At 54.3% G+C, this 21,721-nt stretch overlaps 1 protein-coding gene across 1 annotated transcript, besides 3 other annotated features; it reads left to right on the top strand.

The window, feature by feature from the left end:
• Nucleotides 8,404–21,323, top strand: LMAN1L (lectin, mannose binding 1 like). The gene is made up of 14 exons (NM_021819.3): nt 8,404–8,598; nt 11,726–11,880; nt 11,996–12,103; nt 12,201–12,259; nt 14,287–14,386; nt 14,721–14,841; nt 15,613–15,668; nt 16,204–16,336; nt 16,644–16,795; nt 17,398–17,469; nt 18,211–18,278; nt 19,128–19,251; nt 19,920–20,047; nt 21,045–21,323. Exons 1-14 carry the CDS (start codon nt 8,424–8,426, stop codon nt 21,172–21,174), a joined length of 1,581 nt encoding a protein of 526 aa, NP_068591.2. The 5' UTR covers nt 8,404–8,423; the 3' UTR covers nt 21,175–21,323.
• Nucleotides 15,425–16,238: an enhancer, noted in NCBI's record as "H3K4me1 hESC enhancer chr15:75112197-75113010 (GRCh37/hg19 assembly coordinates)". NCBI's record gives its function as "activates a minimal SCP1, AML or CMV promoter by ChIP-STARR-seq in primed H9 embryonic stem cells {active_cell/tissue: H9 hESC(primed)}" and the evidence as "EXISTENCE:reporter gene assay evidence [ECO:0000049][PMID:30033119]".
• Nucleotides 16,239–17,052: an enhancer, noted in NCBI's record as "H3K4me1 hESC enhancer chr15:75113011-75113824 (GRCh37/hg19 assembly coordinates)". NCBI's record gives its function as "activates a minimal SCP1, AML or CMV promoter by ChIP-STARR-seq in primed H9 embryonic stem cells {active_cell/tissue: H9 hESC(primed)}" and the evidence as "EXISTENCE:reporter gene assay evidence [ECO:0000049][PMID:30033119]".
• Nucleotides 17,867–18,679: an enhancer, noted in NCBI's record as "H3K4me1 hESC enhancer chr15:75114639-75115451 (GRCh37/hg19 assembly coordinates)". NCBI's record gives its function as "activates a minimal SCP1, AML or CMV promoter by ChIP-STARR-seq in naive H9 embryonic stem cells {active_cell/tissue: H9 hESC(naive)}" and the evidence as "EXISTENCE:reporter gene assay evidence [ECO:0000049][PMID:30033119]".

Consider the following 21,721-nt stretch of genomic DNA (forward strand, 5'->3'; position numbering starts at 1 on the left):
AGGGAGGGCAGCTTTGTCTCAGATCTCCAAGAAAGTGGGTGAGGATGGACGAACAGCCAGGCCTGAGAGGTGAGGCTGTGGCTGTGGCAAAGACTTAGCTTTTATCAAACAGAGAATAATGGGAAGCCAATGACAAGTTTGATCAGGAGGGTGAGATGTCAGATAATTTTTGTTTGTTTGTTTGTTTTTGAGAAGAAGTCTTACTCTGTCACCCAGGCTGGAGTGCAGTGGTGCCATCTCAGCTCACTGCAACCTCCAGCTCCTGGGTTCAAGCGATTGTCTTGCCTCAGCCTCCCAAGTAACTGGGATTACAACAGGCATGCGCCACCATGCCTGGCTAATTTTTGTATTTTTAGTGGAAACGGGGTTTCGCCGTGTTGCCCAGACTGGTCTCAAACTCCTGACCTCAGGTGATCCACCACCTCGGCCTCCCAAAGTGCTGGGATTACAGGCGTGAGCCACTGCACGCGGCCCAGATATGTGTTTTTGAAATCACCCTAGCTACTGGTAGAGGAGTTTCAGAGAGTACAGTGAGGACTGGTCCAGATGAGAGACGGTCTCCAGAGAGATTTAGCTCCAGAGCTAAAATTGACCGAACTTGGCTATGGATTCAGTGTGAGAGTGGAGGAGAGGGAAGGGCCGTAGCAAGGCCTGATTGAGCAGAACGGATGCAGGGAGGGCAGCAGGGGGCATCTGCTGAGCGAGGACAGGAGACTCATGCTTAGGAGGGAGTATCATGAGCTCTGTTAAGGACATGTTAAGGTTTTTGTTGTTTTGAGACAGGGTCTCGTTCTGACACCCAGGCTGGAGTCCAGTGGTGCAAACACAGCTCACTACAGCCTTGACCTCCCAGGCTGAAGCAGTCCTCCTGCCTCAGCCTCTCAAGTAGCTGGGACTACAAGTGCCTGCCACCATGACTGGCTAATTTTTAAATTTTTTGTAGAGACGAGGTCTCCCTATGTTGTCTAGGCTAGCCTTGAACGCCTGGGCTCAAGCAGTCCTCCCACCTCGGCCTCCCAAAGTGTTGGGATTACAGGCGTGAGCCACCACACCAAGCCACACATTGAGTTTTAAGTGAGGCTTTGAAACTGCCAAGAAGCTGGGCGCGGCGGCTCACGCCTGTAATCCCAACACTTCAGGAGGCCAAGGCCAGTGGATCACTTGAGGTCAGGAGTTAGAGACCAGCCTGACCAACATGGTGAAACCTCGTCTCTACTAAAAATATAAAATTAGCTGGGCGCAGTGGTGCACACCTGTAATCCCAGCTACTCTGGAGGCTGAGGCAGGAGAATTGCTTGAACCCAGGAGGCAGAAGTTGCAGTGAGCCGGGATCATGCCACTGCACTCCAGCCTGGGCAACAAGACCAAAACTGCATCTCTCAAAAAAAAAAAAGGTCAAGAAGAGGAGGTTGACCATGCCAGTGCCATGTCGTAAAAGCCAAGGAAAAAGAACTTCAAGAGGAGGAAGCCACCAGGGTCCCCGCCTCCCAGAAGGCACAGAGATGGAGGCTGAGTCTGCCCCTTGGTTTTTATTTATGTATTTATATTTATTTTTTGAGACAGAGTCTCACTCTGTCACCGAGGCTGGAGTGCAATGGCACGATCTCGGCTCACTGCAAGCTCCACCTCTCAGGTTCACACCATTCTCCTGCCTCAGCCTCCCGAGTAGCTGGGACTACAGGCGCCTGCCACCACTCTCGGCTAATTTTTTGTAGTTTTAGTAGAGACGGGGTTTCACTGTGTTAGCCAGGATGGTCTTGATCTCCTGACCTCGTGATCCACCCGCCTTGGCCTCCCAAAGTGCTGGGATTACGGGCGTGAGCCACCATGCCTGGCTATTTATTTTTTTTGAAATGGAGTCTCGCTCTGTCGCCAAAGCCAGAGAGCACTGGCACAATCTCAGCTCACTGCAACCTCCACCTCCCAAATTCAAGCAATTCTCCTGCCTCAGCCTCCCAAGTAGCTGGGATTACAGGTGCCCACCACCACGCCTGGCTAATTTTTGTATTTTTAGTAGAGACAGGGTTTTGCCATGTTGGCCATGCTGGTCTTGAACTCCTCACCTCAGTGATTCATCCATCTCGGCCTCCCAAAGTGCTGGGATTACAGGCATGAGCCACTGCACCTGGCCAAACTGCCCCTTGGTTTTAGCCACAATGTCTGTGTTGATAAGGGCTGATTCCAGATCACAGTGACTAGAGAAGGGTGTGAGAAACGCAAGAGGTGGACAGTCTGAGAAATGAAGTTGTAATGGAGAGATGAGAGAGGAAGAGTGACAGGAGGATGTGGTGGATTTAGGGTTTTTTTCTTTTTCTTTTTCTTTTTTTTTTTTTTTTGAGATGGAGTCTCGATCTGTCACCTAGGCTGGAGTGCAGTGGCGCAATCTCAGCTCACTGCAACCTCAGCCTCCCGGGTTCAAGTGATTCTCCTGCCTCAGCCTCCTGAGTAGCTGGGACTACAGGTGCCCACCACCACACCCAGCTAATTTTTGTATTTTTAGTACAGACAGGGTTTCACCATGTTGGCCAGGCTGGTCTCGATCTCTTGACCTCCCAAAGTGCTGGGATTACAGGCATGAGCCACCGCACCCGGCTGGTAGATTTAAGACAGCAGAGTCTTGAGCAAATTTGGCTGCCAAAGGGAAGGACATTGACCTTTAAATTGTACTGAGTACTGAGAGTGAGGCAAGAGATATAGACAGGAGGGGTGGTATGTAGATGGTAGAGCCTTCCTTAGAGCAGGGGGTGGGTGGTGGGAACCCAGAACATGGGGGAACCGGCCTGAGATGGGAGAGGGATAGTCCCTCCGCAAGTGCAGAGAAGGAGGGAGACTCAGGCAGTGGTGCACTGATGAATGTTTAATATCCAAATCTAGGACACGGGCTGGGTGGGGTAGCTCTGATTTATAGCATTTGCTGATATCCGCGGAGTTAATACTCTGACTGTGGTCAATTTCAAGCACCAATCTGACTTCACTGAATACAGCGCTGGATGGGGATTCCAGCAATCAGCTCTCACAGCTGGTCCAAGCCAGCTAGGATTCAGAAACCCACAGTGAAGCCCGTGGCTATAGGGTCACAACAGGGGCCAGCCAAGCAACACAACAGAGATGGGCCAGGCATAAAACAACAGGAGAGAAGGGACAGGGCTCAGCCAATGGGACCCTGAGGGTTGCAGGCTCAGATGGCTGGGTGTTCCCATTCATCTTTCCTTTTTCTTTTTTTTTGAGAGGGAGTCTAGCTCTGTCACCTAGGCTGGAGTGCAGTGGCATGATCTTGGCTCAGTACAACCTCTGCCTCCTGGGTTCAAGCGATTCTCGTGTCTCAGCCTCCCCAGTAGCTGGGATTACAAGCGCCTGCCACCACACCTGGCTAATTTTTTTATTTTTAGTAGAGAGGGGGTTTTGCCATATTGGCCAGGCTGGTCTCGAACTCCTGACCTCAAGTGATCCACCCACCTCAGCCTCCCAAAGTACTGGGATTACAGGTGTGAGCCACTGCACCCAGCCTCTCTGTTTCTGCTTGTTTTTTTCCTCTTTCTTTTCTCTCATCTCTCCCTTCTCTGCCCTGGCAACTGGCTCATCACAGATGAGCAAGACATAGATCCTGCCCTTAAGGAGCTTGTGAACTGATGGGGAACCTTCTCAGGACTCAGTCTGCTGTCCGGAAAAGTGGGGGAATACCTGCCACCAGCACCCCACCAATGGGGCAGAGGCGGTGGGAAGTGCAGGGCGGCTCCTCAGACACTCAAAGAACAGGCAGGGACAGCAAGGGCATTCCTGGCAAAGGAAGGGCACTGCCCAGCCAAAGGTGGTGAGGTGCGACAGCGAGCTGACCAGCTTGCTGGGGCTCAGACGCCAAGGGGTGTGGCTTGGAAGCCAGTGAAGCTGAAGCGAAAGCAGGGGCCTGGACCTCACCTGCCTCTGTAGGCCCAATGAGGAGCTCAATGTTATGGGAAGATAGCCAGAAGCAATTGAAGGGCTTAGGACAGAGGTGTGGCATGGCCAGATCTGTATTTTATTTTATTGTATTTATTTATTTTTTTTTTGAGAAAGAGTTTCGCTCTTGTCCAGGCTGGAGTGCAATGATGCAATCTCGAGTCACTGCAACCTCTGCCTCCCGGGTTCAAGCGATTCTCCTACCTCGGCCTCCCGAGTAGCTAGAATTACAGGCATGCACCATCATGCATATTTGGTATTTTTAGTAGAGACGGGGTTTCATCATGTTAGTCAGACTGGTCTGGAACTCCTGACCTCAGGTGATCCACCGGCCTTGGCCTCCCTAAATGCTGGGATTACAGACGTGAGACACCGCACCCAGCCCAGATCTGCATTTTAGAAAGACCTTTTTCACTGCAGTCTGGGAGACGGTGAGGAGGCTGCAGTCAGCAGGTAGTGGGGAAGAGGAGGATAAAGGGGCTGCTGTCCTATTGAGCTGAGCACTGTCTGCCAGGCCCTGTTCTAAATACGTTCCATGTAACTTTTCAAACAACTCTTGGAGGCATATACCATTAATGCTCCCATTTTACAGATAAGAAAACTAAGGCTTGGCAAGATTAAGGAACCAGGTAACACGGTATGAATGGCAAGAACAAATGTAAGAACCTGCCTATGGCTAGATGTGGGGATGAGGCAGAGGGAAGGATATGGGAGCAGTTCCACTCTCTGGTGTAAGGGGGCGGTGCCACCTGGGAGACCTGAGGCCTGGAGGAGGATGAAGGGGCTGGAGAAGAGGAATTCAGTTTGGAATTCCTGGGGGCCTTAGTGACATCCAAGCAGAGATGTCCGCTGCAGAGAGACACATTCATTCAAGTCTTCCAGGAGAGGCTGGCTAGAAGTAGATTTGAGAGTGTGCACAGGGATGTGCTTGAAGTCATGGGCATGGAGGAGCTTGGTCAGGGAGTGTGGGGTTGAGGAGAAGCAAGCCCTGAGGCTTATGGGGGTAGGGAGGGAGAGCAGCTGGCAAGGGATTAGTGAAGGGAGCAGCCAGGGGCAGGGGGAGAAGCAGGTGGGCCTTGGGGGGACTCAGGGTACAGGAGGGGTCGGGGAGAGCAGGTGGATGTCAGCAGCATTTCAAGCGGCAGAGACTGGGTTGAGAAGAGTCTCCTAGGACCAAAGAACAGGCATAGCTGCTCAGGCCTTTGCGAGGGCGTTTTCCATGGAGTGGTGGGGACAGGATCGGGAAGCCAAGGGCTTGAGGATCCAGTGGGCTTGAGGGGCTTGAGGATCCAGTGAGGAGGCGGGGACAGAATGGACAACCTGTCCACCAGTGTGGCTGTGAAGGGAGGAGGAGCAGATGGAGGCAGGTGAGGGCTTGGTGTTGCAAAATGCTTTTTTTTTTTTTTTTTTGAGACAGAGATTCACTCTTGTCGCCCAGGCTGGAGTGCAATGGCGCGATCTTGGCTCACTGCAACCTCTGCCTCCTGGGTTCAAGCGATTCTCCTGCCTCAGCCTCTTGAGTAGCTCAGATTACACGCCTGGCTAATTTTGTATTTTTAGTAGAGATGGGGTTTCACCATGTTGGTCAGGCTGGTCTTGAACTCCCAACCTCAGGTGATCCGCCTACCTCGGCCTCCCGAAGTGCTGGGATTACAGGTGTAAGCCACTGCACCTGGCCTGTGAAATGATTTCTCATAGCATGTTCTAACATTTCACATGTACAACTTTGATTTTAATCCATTTGTAAAGCTTCAGTCACTGACTCCTATTGGGAACCTCCAAAGCACAGTAAAATTTCAGCTATCCAGGATTCTTGGCAAATGAGTCATTCTGGAAAACCAACTTTTATTTGGATGAAAATATTTGAAATATAGGATTTCTTTCTTTCTAAAAAAAATTTTTAATGAAAATTTTCAAATATATAAAAATAGGCCAGTGTTGTGGCTCACACCTGTAATCCCAGCACTTTGGGAAGCCAAGGCAGAAGGATCACTTGAAGCCAGGGGTTCAAGACCAGCCTGGGCAACAAAACAAGACCCCCATCTCTACAAAAATAAAAATTAAAAAATTAGCTGGGGGCTGGGCGCTGTGGCTCATGCCTGTAATCCCAGCACTTTGAGAGGCTGAGGTGGACGGATCACCTGAGGTGAGGAGTTCGAGACCAGCCTGATCCAAAATGGTGAAACCCTGTCTCTACTAAAAATACAAAAATTGGCCAGGCGCGGTGGCTCACACCTGTAATCCCAGCACTTTGGGTGGCTGAGGCGGGTGGATCACGAGGTCAGGAGATCAAGACCAACCTGGCAAACACTGTGAAATGCTGTCTCTACTAAAAATACAAAAAAATTAGCTGGGCGTGGTGGCAGGCGCCTAGTAGTCCCGGCTACTCTGGAGGCTGAGGCAGGAGAATGGCATGAACCCGGTGGGGGCAGAGCTTGCAGTGAGCGGAGACTGTGCCACTGCACTCCAGCCTGGGCAACAGAGGGAGACTCCATCTCAAAAAAAAAAAAAAAAAATACAAAAATTAGCCGGGCATGGTGGTGGGTTGGTGGGTGCCTGTAATCCCAGCTACTCAGGAGGCTGAGGCAGGAGAATCGCTTGAACCTGAGAGGAGGAGGTTGCAGTCAACCGAGATCCCGCCACTGCACTCCAGCCTGGGTGACAGAGTGAGACTTCGTCTCAAAAAAAAAAAAAAAAAAAAATTAGCTAGCAAGGCACGGTAGTGTGTGCCTGTAGTCCCAGCTCCTCTACAATCCTGCCATTGCACTTCAGTCTGGGTGACAGTGAGACCCTGTTTCAAAAAATAATAAAAGTAGAAGATATAAGGAACCCCTGCATCCCGCCATCCAGCTTCAGCACTTACCAACTCAAGGTCAATTCTGTCTCATCTCTACCCCACCTGCTCACCAACAAGCCCTGGAATATTTTGAAGCAAATCCCCGATGTTACAGCAATTCATCTGTAAAGCTTTTGTATGTTTCTCCAAAAGACACTTTAAAAACATAACCACAAGCCAGGCGTGGTGGCTCATGCCTTTATTTCCAGCTATTCAGGAGGCAGGAGGATCCTTTGAGCCCAGAAGTTTGAGTCCATCCTTGGTAACATAGGAAGACACCACCTCTCAAAAAAAAAAAAAAAGGCCAGGCGCAGTGGCTCACGCCTGTAATCCCAACACTTTGGGAGGCCAAGTCAGGCGGATCACGAGGTCAGAAGATCGAGACCACCCTGGTTAACACGGTGAAATCCCATCTCTACTAAAAAATACAAAAAATTAGCCAGGCATGGTGGCGGGCACCTGTAGTCCCAGCTACTTGGGAGGCTGAGGCAGAAGAATGGTGTGAACCCGGGAGGCAGAGCTTGCAGTGAGCCAAGATCGCGCCACTGCACTCCAGCCCGGGCGATAGAGCGAGACTCCGTCTCAAAAAATAAATAAATAAAATAAAATAAAAAATAAAAAACATAACCACAATACCATATTAGTTCTCAATTTTTTTTTTCGAAATGGATTTTTGCTCTTATCACCCAGGCTGGAGTGCAATGGTGCAATCTCCGCTCACTACAATCTCTGCCTCCCAGGTTCAAGTGATTCTCCTGCCTCAGCCTCCCAAGTAGCTGGGATTACAGGCATGCACCACCAGGCCTGGCTAATTTTTTGTATTTTTTTTTAGTAGAGACAGAGTTTCACAATGTTGGCCAGGCTGGTCTCGAACTCCTGACCTCAGGTGATCCACCTGCCTTGGGCTCCCAAAGTGCTAAGATTACAGACATGAGCCACAGTGCCCTAAAATTTTTAACAATTCCTCAATATAGTCAAATATCCATTGTTCAAAAATATCCATTGTTCAAATTTCCCCAATATCTTTTTTTTTTTTTGCAGTTGGGTTAAAATTTGGCTCCAAACAAGGTCTGCACGTTGCGTTTTTGTGCTGTCTCTAAAGACTCCCTTCTTTTTTCCATGTAATGCTTTTGTTGAGGAAACCAGGCTGCTTGGAAGGATGAGCCTGGGGGAATTCGGGAGAGGGAGAGAGGGGGCAGGGAGGAGAGAAGGATGGGTGTCCAGATAGATGTGCCATCCATGCTGGGGGACACAGGCAGAATGTGGAGGCCTGTCTCCCTAACTGGGAGGGGAGGCCAGGGCTGCTGAAGGGTGGGGGCCAACCCTGGGCACCCCCCCTTCCCCTCTGCCGCATCCAACTGCTGGAAGTGATGGGAGACAGAAAGATGGCCTGAGTCAGGAGCAGGGGCAGAGCTCAGGTTGTCGTGGGGTCCCGCTGCCCACGTCAGACTGGAGGTGAGGGATGGGCGGGGCCTGACAGCAGGCCTGGAAGGAACAGGATGTCTATGCTGGAGATAGAGGGAGAGGACAGTGCCAAAACCCAGCTCCTGGCCAGTCCCCAGCTCCTCCCTGCCTGGCCCTATCCCAGGATCCCCTCCCCGGCCTCCCAGCTATGATCTACCCCGGGGCCCAGACTTCAGGCGCCTTCACGATGCCGGCGGTCAGTGGTCCAGGTCCCTTATTCTGCCTTCTCCTCCTGCTCCTGGACCCCCACAGCCCTGAGACGGGGTGTCCTCCTCTACGCAGGTTTGAGTACAAGCTCAGCTTCAAAGGCCCAAGGCTGGCATTGCCTGGGGCTGGAATACCCTTCTGGAGCCATCATGGAGGTGAGGGGCAGGGGTGGGGACCAGCTATGCCCAGGGTCCCTCAAAGTGCTGGAGGGGCTGTGACTTGGTGGGGAGTGGGTCTGTCACAGCCATCCTCTGTCCAGGGTGGGGCAAGGCCTGGGACAGTGCCAGGCACCCCAGGACCCCTTCCAGGCTTGTCTCCTGCTCCACCGCCTCAACACCCCCCACCCCTGCCCAAGCTGTTTCTCCTCTGCCTCTCTGCTTCCCTGCCCCAGGACTTCTCTCTTCTCCTCTGCCTCTCCTTGGACCCCTGCCCTTCCTCTACCTCTGACCTGTGAACACACAGACACATGCTCACACACTAAGTCCCAGGCACACAGAAGGCAATGTGGACCAGCACAAACCTCCACTCTCCCGGCTCCATCCCAGCGGGCCTGTGGCTGGCCATGAGAACTGGGGGCTACCTGGAGGGAAGCATCCTCATCCCAGGTGAGTGGGCACCAGCCCTTCCCTGTATGTGTGTTGTGGGTGGAAGCAGGCATGAGAGCATCTTAGCCCATAGGTTTGTATTCAGGGACTTCCAAACCCAGACCTACAAAGAGTGTGTCTTCTACCAGATCTTGTTCAAAAAAGGGTTTGTGATGATGGAACTACACGATAGAGGGAGTGAGCAAGAACAATGAGGATTAGAGTGGAGCGTGAAATAGTCTAGGAGCATGGCTTCCAAAACATATGCTGTGAGGTCTGTCCACCTGAGAGTTGGGCCATGGATTTAATTCTGAGCCTCTTAGCAGGCAAAGCAAAGACAGAAAGCAGATCGGCTGTGGATTTCTGTCTATAAAATGTGAGTTCTTGGCCAGGTGCAGTGGCTCACGCCTGTAATCCCAGCACTTTGGGAGGCCAAGGCGGATGAATCACGAGGTCAAGAGGTTGAAAACCATCCTGGCCAAAATGGTGAAACCCTGACTCTACTAAAAATACAAAAATTAGCTGGGTGTGGTGGCGTGCGCCTGTAGTCCCAGCTCCTCAGGAGGCTGAGGCAGGAGAATTGCTTGAACCTGGGAGGCCAAGGTTGCAGTGAGCTGAGATCCTGCCATTGCACTTCAGCCTGGGCACAGAGCCAGACTCTGGCTCAAAAAAAAAAAAAAAAAAGATGTGAGTTCTGAGAAATGGCACGATTCCTAACTAAAGCCAGGACAAAATATCCCTTTTTTTTTTGTGAGATGGAGTTTCACTCTTGTTGCCCAGGCTGGAGTGCAGTGGTGTGATCTTGGCTCACTGCAACCTTCACCTCCCAGATTCAAGTGATTCTCCTGCCTCAGCCTCCTGAGTAGCTGGGATTACAGGTGTGTGCCACCACACGCAGCTAATTTTTGTTTTTGTTTTTGTTTTTTTTTTTTTGAGACGGAGTCTCGTTCTGTTGCCCAGGCTGGAGTGCAGTGGCGTGATCTCGGCTCACTGCAAGCTCCACCTCCTGGGTTCATGCCATTCTCCTGCCTCAGTCTCCCGAGTAGCTGGGACTACAGGTGCCTGCCACCACCCCCAGCTAATTTTTTGTACTTTTAGTAGAGATGGGGTTTCACCTTGTTAGCCAGGATGGTTTCGATCTCCTGACCTCGTGATCCGCCCGCCTTGGCCTCCCAAAGTGCTGGGATTACAGGCGAGCCACCGCGCCCAGCCTAATTTTTGTATTTTTTAAGTAGAGACGGGTTGTCACCATGTTGGCCAGGCTGGTCTTGAACTACTGACCTCAGATGATCCGCCTGCCTCGGCTTCCCAAAGTGCTGGGATTATAGGCATGAGCCACCGCGCCCAGCCCAAAATATTCCTTTAAGATGATAGGCCCTGTCAGTAGGGTTTCTTCCAGTCCTCCTTCATAGAGACACAGGAGGTAACAAAAAGGTGGGCTGTTTCTCACAGCACCAAGCTGGGCCCTGCTTCAGGACCAGGATGGCAAAACTTATACAACACTCACTGCTATGGGCCTTGCCAAATCTGGGTGTCACAGATCATGTGAGGGAGCAGAGGCACCTTCTCCAAGATCACCCAGTGATGTGTGCATTGTCTGTTCATTCATTCGTTCACCCTGATGTTCCTCTGTGCCCAGCCCAGAGATACCAGGCAGAGTGAGGCTGAAGGAGCCCATGGTCTGGGGCAAGGTCTCACCCACAGGCCTTGTAAGGCTGAAAGCCTTCTGCAAGGATTTCAGAGGCAGTGACAGCTTCCAGAGGCCCTGGGACTTGTGGCCTTGCAGCTCTGAGCCTCCCTACCCCCATCCCTGGCCTTTATAGAGCAAACAGGCTGGATTAGCTGCCTCCAGAACGTCCTGGCAGAGTCTGGGCCCTGGGCCAGGTTCCAGGCTGGCAGGTTGGAGGGTGGGGAGCGAGCTCGAGTAGGGCCTCTGAGTTCCCTGCCCCCAGTTCCTGCCAAGACTGCCTCAGTTTCTCTCCCATTCCTTTTTCCTACCATGCAGGGCTCCTTCCTCCCCGCCCCACCACCGCCAGTGGCAATTCTCACACACATACTCCATCCTGCATTCTTTCATCGCAGTCCTGTGGGCCGGTTCTCACCTTCACATCTTTGCTTTCCTGCTTTCCTCACCTTGGAATGCCCCCTAGGTCCTGTCCACCAGGAAGCTCTGGCCTCATTTGGCCACAGCCTAGAGTCTTGGGCCTTCTTGCAGTTACTCCCTCCTAAAGTGCTCTCCTGTGTTCTGTGGTCTCAGGCACTTCCTTTTTTGTCACAAGGCCTCAGTTTCGTCATCTGAGAAATGGGAAGGGTTAGACACAAATCTCTCTCGTGGTGGAAAAAGCTTGTGCTTTGGAGTCATATGGAGCTGAATTCCATCCAATCCACTTAGTTCCTTAACTTTTATGAGCCTCACCTTCCTCATCTGTTAGATGGGGTCTTATAAAAACAGACAGCACACACTGCGGTGAGGCTTCACTGACGACGTGGATGGTGCTGGCATTCATTGCCCTCCCCAGCAAAGGCCCCTCCAGCTGTGCTGGGCTCTGACTCCTGCTTCCCTGGCTGGCCGCTTATTTAATGGTAGGCCTTGGCATTGTCGCCTTCTCTTCCGGGAGCCCAGCCCGGGCCAAGTGAGAGAGTGAAGGGGGAGATGGGGTGTAGTGGAGCCTGGGGCTTGAGCTGCCCTTGTCCACAGACGCCATCCTGGGCCTGGAGGAAGTGCGGCTGACGCCATCCATGAGGAACCGGAGTGGCGCCGTGTGGAGCAGGGCCTCTGTCCCCTTCTCTGCCTGGGAAGTAGAGGTGCAGATGAGGGTGACGGGACTGGGGCGCCGGGGAGCCCAGGGCATGGTGAGTGTCCTCTCCCAGAGCTGACAGAGCGGGGTGGGTCAGGGAGGCGGGTGATGAGCCCCGGGGTCCCAGTATCCCACACGGTTCCCTGAGCTGAGGGGCTGGGGACCTGCAGGCCGTGTGGTACACCCGGGGCAGGGGCCATGTAGGCTCTGTCCTTGGGGGGCTGGCTTCGTGGGACGGCATCGGGATCTTCTTTGACTCTCCGGCAGAGGATACTCAGGTGCGTAGTGGTCTCCTGCCTGCCAGCCCGCCTGCCCGCTCACACCCTCCCCCTCCCGCCATGTCCGCGGCTCAGGCTGCTTCTCACCTCCCTGCAGGACAGTCCTGCCATCCGTGTGCTGGCCAGCGACGGGCACATCCCCTCTGAGCAGCCTGGGTAAGGGCCTGTCTGGACTGACCACTCACCTCCATTTTTGCACTGGGAGGGGCCCATCCCCCCCATCCGAGCCCCTGCCCCAGCCTCCTCCAGCAGGGGGCCCACCCTGCCGGGCCGCCATACTTGCTGGACTCTCTCACTTAGCCGACGTCCGCCCCCCTGGGGCTTGATTCCTTCGACCCAGCAGCCCCAGGTGAAATGACACAGGCTGGGGCCTGTGATGAGTATCTTTGCTCCCATGATCTCATCCCATCTCCAACACCCTCCATAAGTGGGGGGTTATTCGTCCCATTTACAGGTCAGGACATTGAGCCCAGAGAGGGGAAGGGATGTGCCGTGCGCAGTGCTGAACTTTGAGCCCAGACTTACCCCTGGAGGGTCCTCGCCCTTCCCTGCATAGCTGTCCCTTCCCTTTCCCCTGATGATTTGGCTTCTGTCCCTCCCCGGCCCTACTGCCTCCTCAGTAGCTGGGCCGGTTTGTCAGTGTCTCTCAGCAACCTTCTCTCGGCTCATAACAATTAGAGTAATTGCCTGCATTTATGGAGTGAGCTGATTGTATGCCAGGCACAGCACCAAGCCCTTCTCATTTACTGTCTTAGTTAACCCTCATAACATTGTTATGAGGTCGTTCCAATTACCATCCTCGTTTTAGAGATGGGAACACTGGGGTTTGGAGAGATGAGATGGCTTGCCCAAGGTCACATAGCTCGGGGCACAAACCCAGGTGGCTGCTGTGGTGCTGGCTTCTCCCCTGCCCTGTGCTGCCTCCCTCTTGGCGGAAGGCGGCACTGTCAGACGCTCTGCTGTGAGTAGCCTGAGGTGTCCAGAGACACTCAGCGTTTAACACTCTTCTCCTGACTCCCCAGAGCCTGCCGAGCCGACCTGTCAGGGAGGCAGCCTGGTCACATTGTCCTTGGCTGCCGGGACATGTCCAGGTCATCCGTCCTGAGTCAGCTGCATTCTGAGCCCTGGCAGCTGGGAGAGGAAAAGGAAGCCAGAGGCACAGAGGACTTGGAGTTTAAAAGAAGGAGGAGGGAGAGGCCAGGCACAGTGGCTCACGCCTGTAATCCCAGCATTTTGGGAGGCTGAGGCGGGCTAATCACCTGAGGTCAGGAGTTTGAGACCAGCCTGGCCAACATGGTGAAACCCTGTCTCTACTAAAAATTAAAAAAATTAGCCGGGTGTGGTGGCGAGCACCTGTAATCCCAGCTACTCGGGAGGCTGAGGCAGGAGAACCGCTTGAACCCAGGAGGCAAAGGTTGCAGTGAGCCGAGATCGCGCCACTGCACTCCAGCCAGGGCAACAGAGCAAGACTCCGTCTCAGAAAAAAAAAAAAAAAGAGAGAGAGAAGAAGGAGGGACGTAAGGGTGATAGGACGAGGGTGATAGGTGGGTCGGGGGAATGGAGGGCAGAAACTGTATTGTTGGTCCAGGCCTTTGTCCCCTTAAGGAAGGGCCACAGGGAGGCCCCTGGCCCCTTCTGTAAATCCAAGTCCCAACACTCCGTCAGGCAGGGCTTGCTTCCCCTGCTCCTCTCTCTTCTGCCAAGGGAGCAGGGTACAACAAGGGAGACTCAAGCTAGACAAGGTACATGTCCCATGCCAGCTCGCCCAGCGGAAAGGGAGGTGGCACAGCAAATCTGGGCAGAGTGGCTTCTGGGACTGCCCTCACTGTCCAGGCCTTGAGTCCTGTATATCCTGGCTGGATTCCAACTGCCCACAAGAGTCAGGCATGGTGGCTCACACCTGTAATCCCAGCACTTTGGCAGCCAAGACAGGTGGATCACTTGAGGTCAGGAGTTTGAGACCAGCCTGACCAACAATGTGAAACCCCATCTCTGCTAAAAATACAAAAATTAGCCGGGCATGGTGGTGCATGCCTGTAGTCTCAGCTACTTGGGAGGCTGAGGTGGGAGGATCACTTGAGCCCAGCAGGCAGAAGTTGCAATGAGCCACAACTGCACCACTGCACTCCAGCCTGGGCAGCGACTCTTTCTCAAAAACAAACAAATGAACAAACTGCCCACAGGGATGGAGCTAGCCAAGGGCTGGGCTCCTGTCATTGGGACTTCCGGAACCGGCCACACCCCTTCAGAGCACGGATCACCTACTGGGGGCAGAGGCTGCGCGTGAGTCACCCTTCCTGCTTCTGACAGGGCTCTGAGTTACAGAGCTGCTATGTGTGCGTGCCCACGGCCCCAACACACCAGTGCCTGTGACACCACGTGAGGTCCCTGGCACACACGGGCCAACATCCACAGGGGATCCTCCATCCCTACACAGAATCCTAACACTCACCCAGAGCACATACATGTAAGGGCTCACATGAGACCAGGAGTGCGGGTCACCTCCATGCCATTCTGATACCAAGCCCTAGGGCCACCTGCCATCCCACGGCCAGGGGAGCCAGGGAGTCAGAGGTAGGGACACCCCCCCACTGCTCACTCTCTCCATGTCCCTCAGATGTCCTTGAACAGTGGCCTCACTCCCAGTGATCCAGGTGAGTTCTGTGTGGATGTGGGGCCCCTGCTTTTGGTCCCTGGAGGTTTCTTTGGGGTCTCAGCAGCCACCGGCACCCTGGCAGGTGAGGATCCCACTGGACAGGTAAGAGCAGAAGGGCAGTGATGAATAAATCACCCTCAGCACACCTTCTAAAGAGCACTGGGGTGGCGTCAGCCACTTCACCACATGACCTGGGCTTCTGTGACCCTTGGGAGAAGTCATGTCTGCCTTGAGACTTGCAAGTCTCAAATGGGATAAAACAAGAGAAGCTTTGATTTCAGTGCTGGCCACATAAGTGCCCCTAGCTGTGAGTTGCGGGACAAGTGGAAGACAGACAGCAAAGAGGGGCATTTAGGAAAATGGAGCAAAGAAATGTGACACCATGGAGAGTCCACGGAGGGTCCCACAGCGGGAAAGCTGAGGGCAACCAGAGCGTGGGAGTCCTTGAATGCCAGGACCTTGGTCTGGTTTCTGAGGAGGAGAGTGACATGGTCAGAGCTATGCTGGAAAGGTGGCCACTGTGCAGTTGCTACTACCAGTAGCAGCTGTGCTCTGGGGGCCTAAGAGTGTCAGATGGTCTGCTGCCATGGCTCTAGCCCAGGATGTTTTGGGATCGTCCAGTTCTGCCACAGGGGCCTGCCTCTGACTGAGTGTGAGGTTCAACCCTCACCACCCACCCGTCTACCTGTCAACCCTCACACCTTTCCTAGGAAGTAAGCAAGACAAGCATCAGACGGTGGCCCAAAGTCACCCCTCTTGCCTCGGTGGGATATCATGGCGGTTAGGGTGAAGGCTGAGCGAGGGGGTTGCTGGGTGGAGGGGTCTTACTTCTCCTTCATCTGTCCCCTTCCAGATGATCATGATGTCCTGTCCTTCCTGACCTTCAGCCTGAGTGAGCCCAGCCCAGAGGTGATGCCAGCCCTGGCCTACCTGGGAATGGCAGCCCAGGGACCCTGCCCTCACCCATGTCATGGTGCCCTCAGACCTGCCATTCCAGCCCTTACCTCCACCTGGCCTCTGAGCTCTGCTCAGGCCAGACCTTGTGCAGGGCAGTGCTGCGGGCCAGGGCCGGTGTGTGAGGTCTCGCAGGCTGGCTGGCTCAGGCTGTGACATTACAGTTCAGAGCGATCAGTGCCAGGTCTCAAAAGGTGCAGGGGGCTGTGGGAGCACAGAGGAGGAGTCCCAACCAGCCAGGGGGTCAAGGAAGGCTGCCTGGAGGAGATGAGCTTAAAGGAGCCTCGGACCAGCACATATAGGCTTGAGGCCACAGCAGGGAGGGAAGATGGTGGGGATCTGCGTGAAGGCAGAACTCAGAGGGCTGGAAACTGCAGGGCCAGCTGGCCAGGGAGGAAGGCTGGGCTCGTGGGGAAGCCTGTGGGAAGGCTCCCCTTGCTTCTGGATCTCCCATGGGTTTGGGGCCCGACTTTCTGTCTTCCTCCCCTAGGTTCCCCCTCAGCCCTTCCTGGAGATGCAGCAGCTCCGCCTGGCGAGGCAGCTGGAAGGGCTGTGGGCAAGGCTGGGCTTGGGCACCAGGGAGGATGTAACTCCAAAATCAGACTCTGAAGCTCAAGGAGAAGGTAGGGACCGAGAGAGCGGGCAGGTGGCGCCCATCTGAGTGTCACAGCATCCTCCACCCTTATGACCAGGGGTCCTTTAATCAGTAGGGAAACTGAGGCCTGAGGAGGCCACATCTAAGCAGGCCCTGGGCCCAAGTGTTCTGTGCTATCCCCACCTTACCACTCAGACTCATCTTCCAGGAGAGGGTCTTGGAGGCAGCAGCCACACCTTCTGGCACCCCTCTCCAAGAAGCCACCCCAAAGATAAGATAGGCTGTGTTACCCCACCATGGCTGGCTGCCCATCCCAGCTCTGCCCTAATCCCCAGGGGAAAGGCTCTTTGACCTGGAGGAGACGCTGGGCAGACACCGCCGGATCCTGCAGGCTCTGCGGGGTCTCTCCAAGCAGCTGGCCCAGGCTGAGAGACAATGGAAGAAGCAGCTGGGGCCCCCAGGCCAAGCCAGGCCTGACGGAGGCTGGGTGAGAAGCCCTACAGGCATCCAAGGCTCCACCTGCGGGCCTGAAAGAGGAGCAAGCACTGTAGTCAGCAACTAGTCTCCCCTAAGGCCTGGAGGGAAAGGAAGGCAGGGATGAAATGCTGCAGGTCACAGGATGGGGCAGGGCAGCATGCAGGATGGCATCTCTGCACAAGCAAATGCGCACGGGGCTGGGGCTGAGGCTGGGGCTGGGGAGAGGAGATGCCAGCTATTTGGACTCAGCTCTGTAGATGAATGACAGAAATAGACTAGGTGCTAATTTGCATGTAGCTTCACATGCGATTTGCATAGGGCTTGCTTAATGCTCAGTTGCACCAGAAGCCTCATTGCATCTCCATTGCCATCTGGCTCCTCCCCCAGGGAGTCATAACTCGGGTCATGCCCAGCCTGGGGGCCTGAGAGCTAAACTCAGCCAAGGTGTTAGATACTGGGCAGAGGAGGCCAGCAGCTCTTGTGGGCTTTGCTGGGCTCTGACAGCTCGAGGTTTTAATCTTGTGTCAGAGCAGCTTAGGCTGGGCTGCTAGTGTGGGGAAGAGGGGAGGGGACTTACACTCCAGGGCCAAGCCTCTCTGATCCTATCCCCAGGCCCTGGATGCTTCCTGCCAGATTCCATCCACCCCAGGGAGGGGTGGCCACCTCTCCATGTCACTCAATAAGGTAGGGACCCAAACACTGGGTGTTGACCAGCACTGGCCCCAGCTTGGCTGGTGCTCTGGGAGAACCAGGGCAGAGAGGACTGGGCTGGGCCTCTGCTTCCTTCAGGGGACAGAACCACTTTTAGAAGGGAGACGTATTTTGGCTTGGCATGGTGGCTCACGCGTGTAATCCTAGCACTTTGGGAGGCCAAGGCGGACAGATCACGAGGTCAAAAGACTGACACCATCGGGCAGATCACAAGGTCAAAAGATCGAGACCATCCTGGCCAACATGGTGAAACCCTGTCTCTACTGAAAATACAAAAATTATACAAAAATTAGCTGGGCGTGGTGGCATGCATCTGTAGTCCCAGCTACTTGGGAGGCTGAGGCAGAAGAATCGCTTGAACCCAGGAGGCAGAGGTAGCAGTGAGCTGAGATTGTGCCACTGCACTCCAGCCTGGCCGCAGAGCAAGACTCCATCTCAAATAAATAAATAAGAAGGGAGAAGTATTTTGAGAAAACCCTGAAGTGGCCACTGTTGGGAGGAAACAACCACCCCTGGGGAGAGGGGCGTGAGTGGAGGGGGAATGTGGATGCCCTTATGGATGAGGTCAGAGAAACACAGTGTGTCCAAATAAGGAGGCCCTGGTAATCTGGGAAGGCCTCTGGAAGGAAGAGGCTGCAGTGCCGCTGGGAAGGTGGGCTCTGAGAAGAGAGGGGCTATGTCCTGGGCCCTAGACAAGAGGCTGCCCCTCTGCAGGACTCTGCCAAGGTCGGTGCCCTGCTCCATGGACAGTGGACTCTGCTCCAGGCCCTGCAAGAGATGAGGTAAGGGACTGGGTGGGGACCCCTCCACCACCTTGTTTCTCCGCCTTAAGTTCCTCCATTAGCCCTTCATTCCTTCCATCATTTCCTGAGCGCCCAGCACACAGCCTGTCAATTGGAAGGGCTACTGGTGGAGTTAGGTTTGTTGAGTTGACTTGAATTTAATTGAATCAAGTTTAATGTTTTGCAAGTCCTAGTTAAAAAGCAATTCTCTCCTGGAGAAGCCCATCATGAAGGCCCCCTCAGACACTCCCACCCTCAGGAGGCTTAAGAAATCTGAGCATTCCTTCAATGGCAGCTCCTAGGATGAGGGGCATTTTGTTGGGGGCTCTTGGAGAGGGAGCACAGCCAAGATCAGACCAGTTGGATGAGACAGTCCCTGACTTGGTTTTGTGCCCCCATTAACTTCCCGGTATCCCACTCTAGGCCAGGCCTCTGGAGCCCTGGGGGTTGGGGGAGTCCTGGGGATGCTGTGGAGGAGGCATGCATCCCAGGCTGAAGCCTAAAGCCCCACCTGTACACACACAGCTAGATGCCTAGGGTTGGGGGTGGAGAGGCACCTAGATGAGAAGAAGGAAAGGAGTTAAATCCCCAGGGGCTGGGAATGGAAGGCAGAGCCGGGGAGCCTGGGGTTGACACAGATAGCTTTAGGGAGATCTTTATCTGAGCTAAAGTCTCAGGATCTAGGAAGAAGGTTGGAGGTGAAAAGACCAGCCCCCAAGAAGGGGCCCCATGGATGGTACCTGTTCCCCATCCATGTGCTGCCCTTGGGGAGATGGGAAATGATTAGGCCATCTGGGTGGAAGCAGAAGAGGTAATGAGTCATCTTACTTGGTTACCACCCCCGGTTAGGGATGCAGCTGTCCGCATGGCTGCAGAAGCCCAGGTCTCCTACCTGCCTGTGGGCATTGAGCATCATTTCTTAGAGCTGGACCACATCCTGGGCCTCCTGCAGGAGGAGCTTCGGGGCCCGGCGGTGAGGGGAAAGTAGTGGGCAGCATGGGGTCCCCAACCTTGACGTCTGGGCTCAGCCACCCTTCTTCCAGCACTTCAGCAGCCCCAAGCCCTCCTGCCTTTGCCCTCCCCTCCCAGGACTGCTGGCAAGCACATCTGTGCCTGCGTCAGTGTCTGTGTGTCCGTGCATACGTGCCACCACACATCTCATCTTTTCTCTGTCCTCTCTCCTCTCTGAAGAGTCCCACAGACTCAGCAGCAGCAGGGCCCTGGACACCCCTCGATCCAATATCCAATGACCAGAGGGGAAACAGGGTGGGCTGTGTCCAAGATCACTGAGTCCAGTGGTAGTCAGCGCTTCCCCATGCCCTGTCCCATCCTCGTTCCCTCGCCCTCACCCTGCTCACCCTGTCTTTGGCTCTTTACTTCTCTCTTCTCTTCTCTTGAACCCTGGGCCCCTTGATGATCCCAGGCCCCAGGCCTTCCCAGCTGTTCCCACAGATGCAGCCATGGGAGCTGGGGTGGGGGAGGCAGCTTTGTACACTGCCCCCTCTCCAAGTTCCCTGGATGAGAGCCAGGACGCCCCAAGCCTGGGGAAAGGAAACGGAGCATGCACATGGCCTAGATTCCAGGTCCCCCACTCCTTCTGGGTAAGAAGCTAAGCTAGGACCTTAGACTTTCCCCTTTCAGAAGGCAGCAGCCAAGGCCCCCCGCCCACCTGGCCAGCCCCCAAGGGCCTCCTCGTGCCTGCAGCCTGGCATCTTCCTGTTCTACCTCCTCATTCAGACTGTAGGCTTCTTCGGCTACGTGCACTTCAGGTGGGCCACCCCGTGAGCAGGATTTCCCACAGCACTGGCATCTCTTGGTTCTCAGCTATAACCATTGGATTTAGGAGAGGGGACACTTCAGCTCAGAGGGGACCTGCCGAGTCCCCAAATCACAAAGAGCACAGTGCGGGATAGGGCCCATTCTCTCACCAAGCACTACTGACCACCTGCTCGGCCCCCAGCCCCATCTGGGTCCTGCTCTCACGGAGCTCACTCACACAGGTCTAACTGACCCTGTGTCGTCAATGCCATGATGTCAGGAAGCTGAGGGGCTACGAGAGTGCAGGAGAACACACTTGACCCCCCTTGGTTAGGGAATCAACCTGGAAGGGACATTTGATATGGTCATTAAGGTGACTAGGAGTTTTCCACCCTGACAAGATAGGTAAAGGCATAGAGGCAGAGGGAACAGCATGAGAAAAGGCAGGGAGGCATGAGAAAAACATAATATTTTAGAGAAAAAGTGGCAAGTTCAGTAATGTTGGAGCAAAGGGCAGGACGAGTTTGTGAAATTGGGCAAAGAGATCTGAAAAAGTGAGAGGAGGTCACTAGTTTTGCTTGGTGTGTGTTTGCTGAATGAACGTGCACCGTTTAGAGATGTGGGGTGTGCTAAAGGCCTCAGCAATGAGACTGACAATCTTTGTTGGTGGAATTTCAAGACAAGAAGAGTCCGTGTGGGCTGGGATGGTCCTGGAGGAGGAGTAAAATGAGCTAAGCTTTAAAAAGCACAAGGTAGAAATGCTCACAGGCTTCAGCACATGCACAGGAGTGCAGTGGTGGCAATCAGCCTGGAGCCACTAGGACAGACCTTACATGCCCAGGGGGAAAGCGTGGACCATATGCAGCGGGCCAAAGGAGCCACAGAAAGTCCAAGAACAGCGGAGGTTGTGGTGCAGTGAGTGTAGCAAGGCAAGCATGAGAGTCCTGGTTTTTCAAAAGCCCATAAAGGAGAGACGCAAGTAACCTGTAACCTTCTCTCTGGCAGCAGGCAGGAGCTGAACAAGAGCCTTCAGGAGTGTCTGTCCACAGGCAGCCTTCCTCTGGGTCCTGCACCACACACCCCCAGGGCCCTGGGGATTCTGAGGAGGCAGCCTCTCCCTGCCAGCATGCCTGCCTGACCCACCTCAGAGCCTGCTTTGCATCACTGGGAAGCAGGCAGTGTCTTGGGTGGGGGCTTGGTCAGTATCCTCTCCGTCTGGGTGCCCAGCTCCCACGCACACCTGAGCTTTCGGCATGCTCCCACCTCGTTAAAGGTGATTTCCCTCTCCCCATGCTGTGATATGCTGGTCTTCTTTCCAGCCTCACCCTAATCTCTGTGAAGGCTTCCACCCCTTCTGAGTACCTGGCTGGGAGTGCGCTCCAAGCAGGCAAGGAGGCCAAGGCCTGGCTTAACCTCCAAAAGACCGGATACCCCACGGGCTTTGAACCCTCGACTATGGAGGGAAAGAGAGCCATGACTGTATATAATTCTGTCCTCAAACTCACCCATAACAGAGAGCAGTGTCTCCCAGTGTCCCTCCTGGCCCAGCTCAGCCAGCATCACTGAGCAGCTCTCTCCCTCCCCACTCCTAGCTGCTCCAGGGGCAGCAGGGGAGGCGCGTGACAGAGCAACCCTGAGAGGCCAACTCGTGGAACCATAACTGGGATTCCCGCTCGCGCCCTCAG

Source organism: Homo sapiens, chromosome 15 (assembly GCF_000001405.40).
Source record: "Homo sapiens chromosome 15, GRCh38.p14 Primary Assembly".
NCBI lineage: Eukaryota > Metazoa > Chordata > Mammalia > Primates > Hominidae > Homo > Homo sapiens.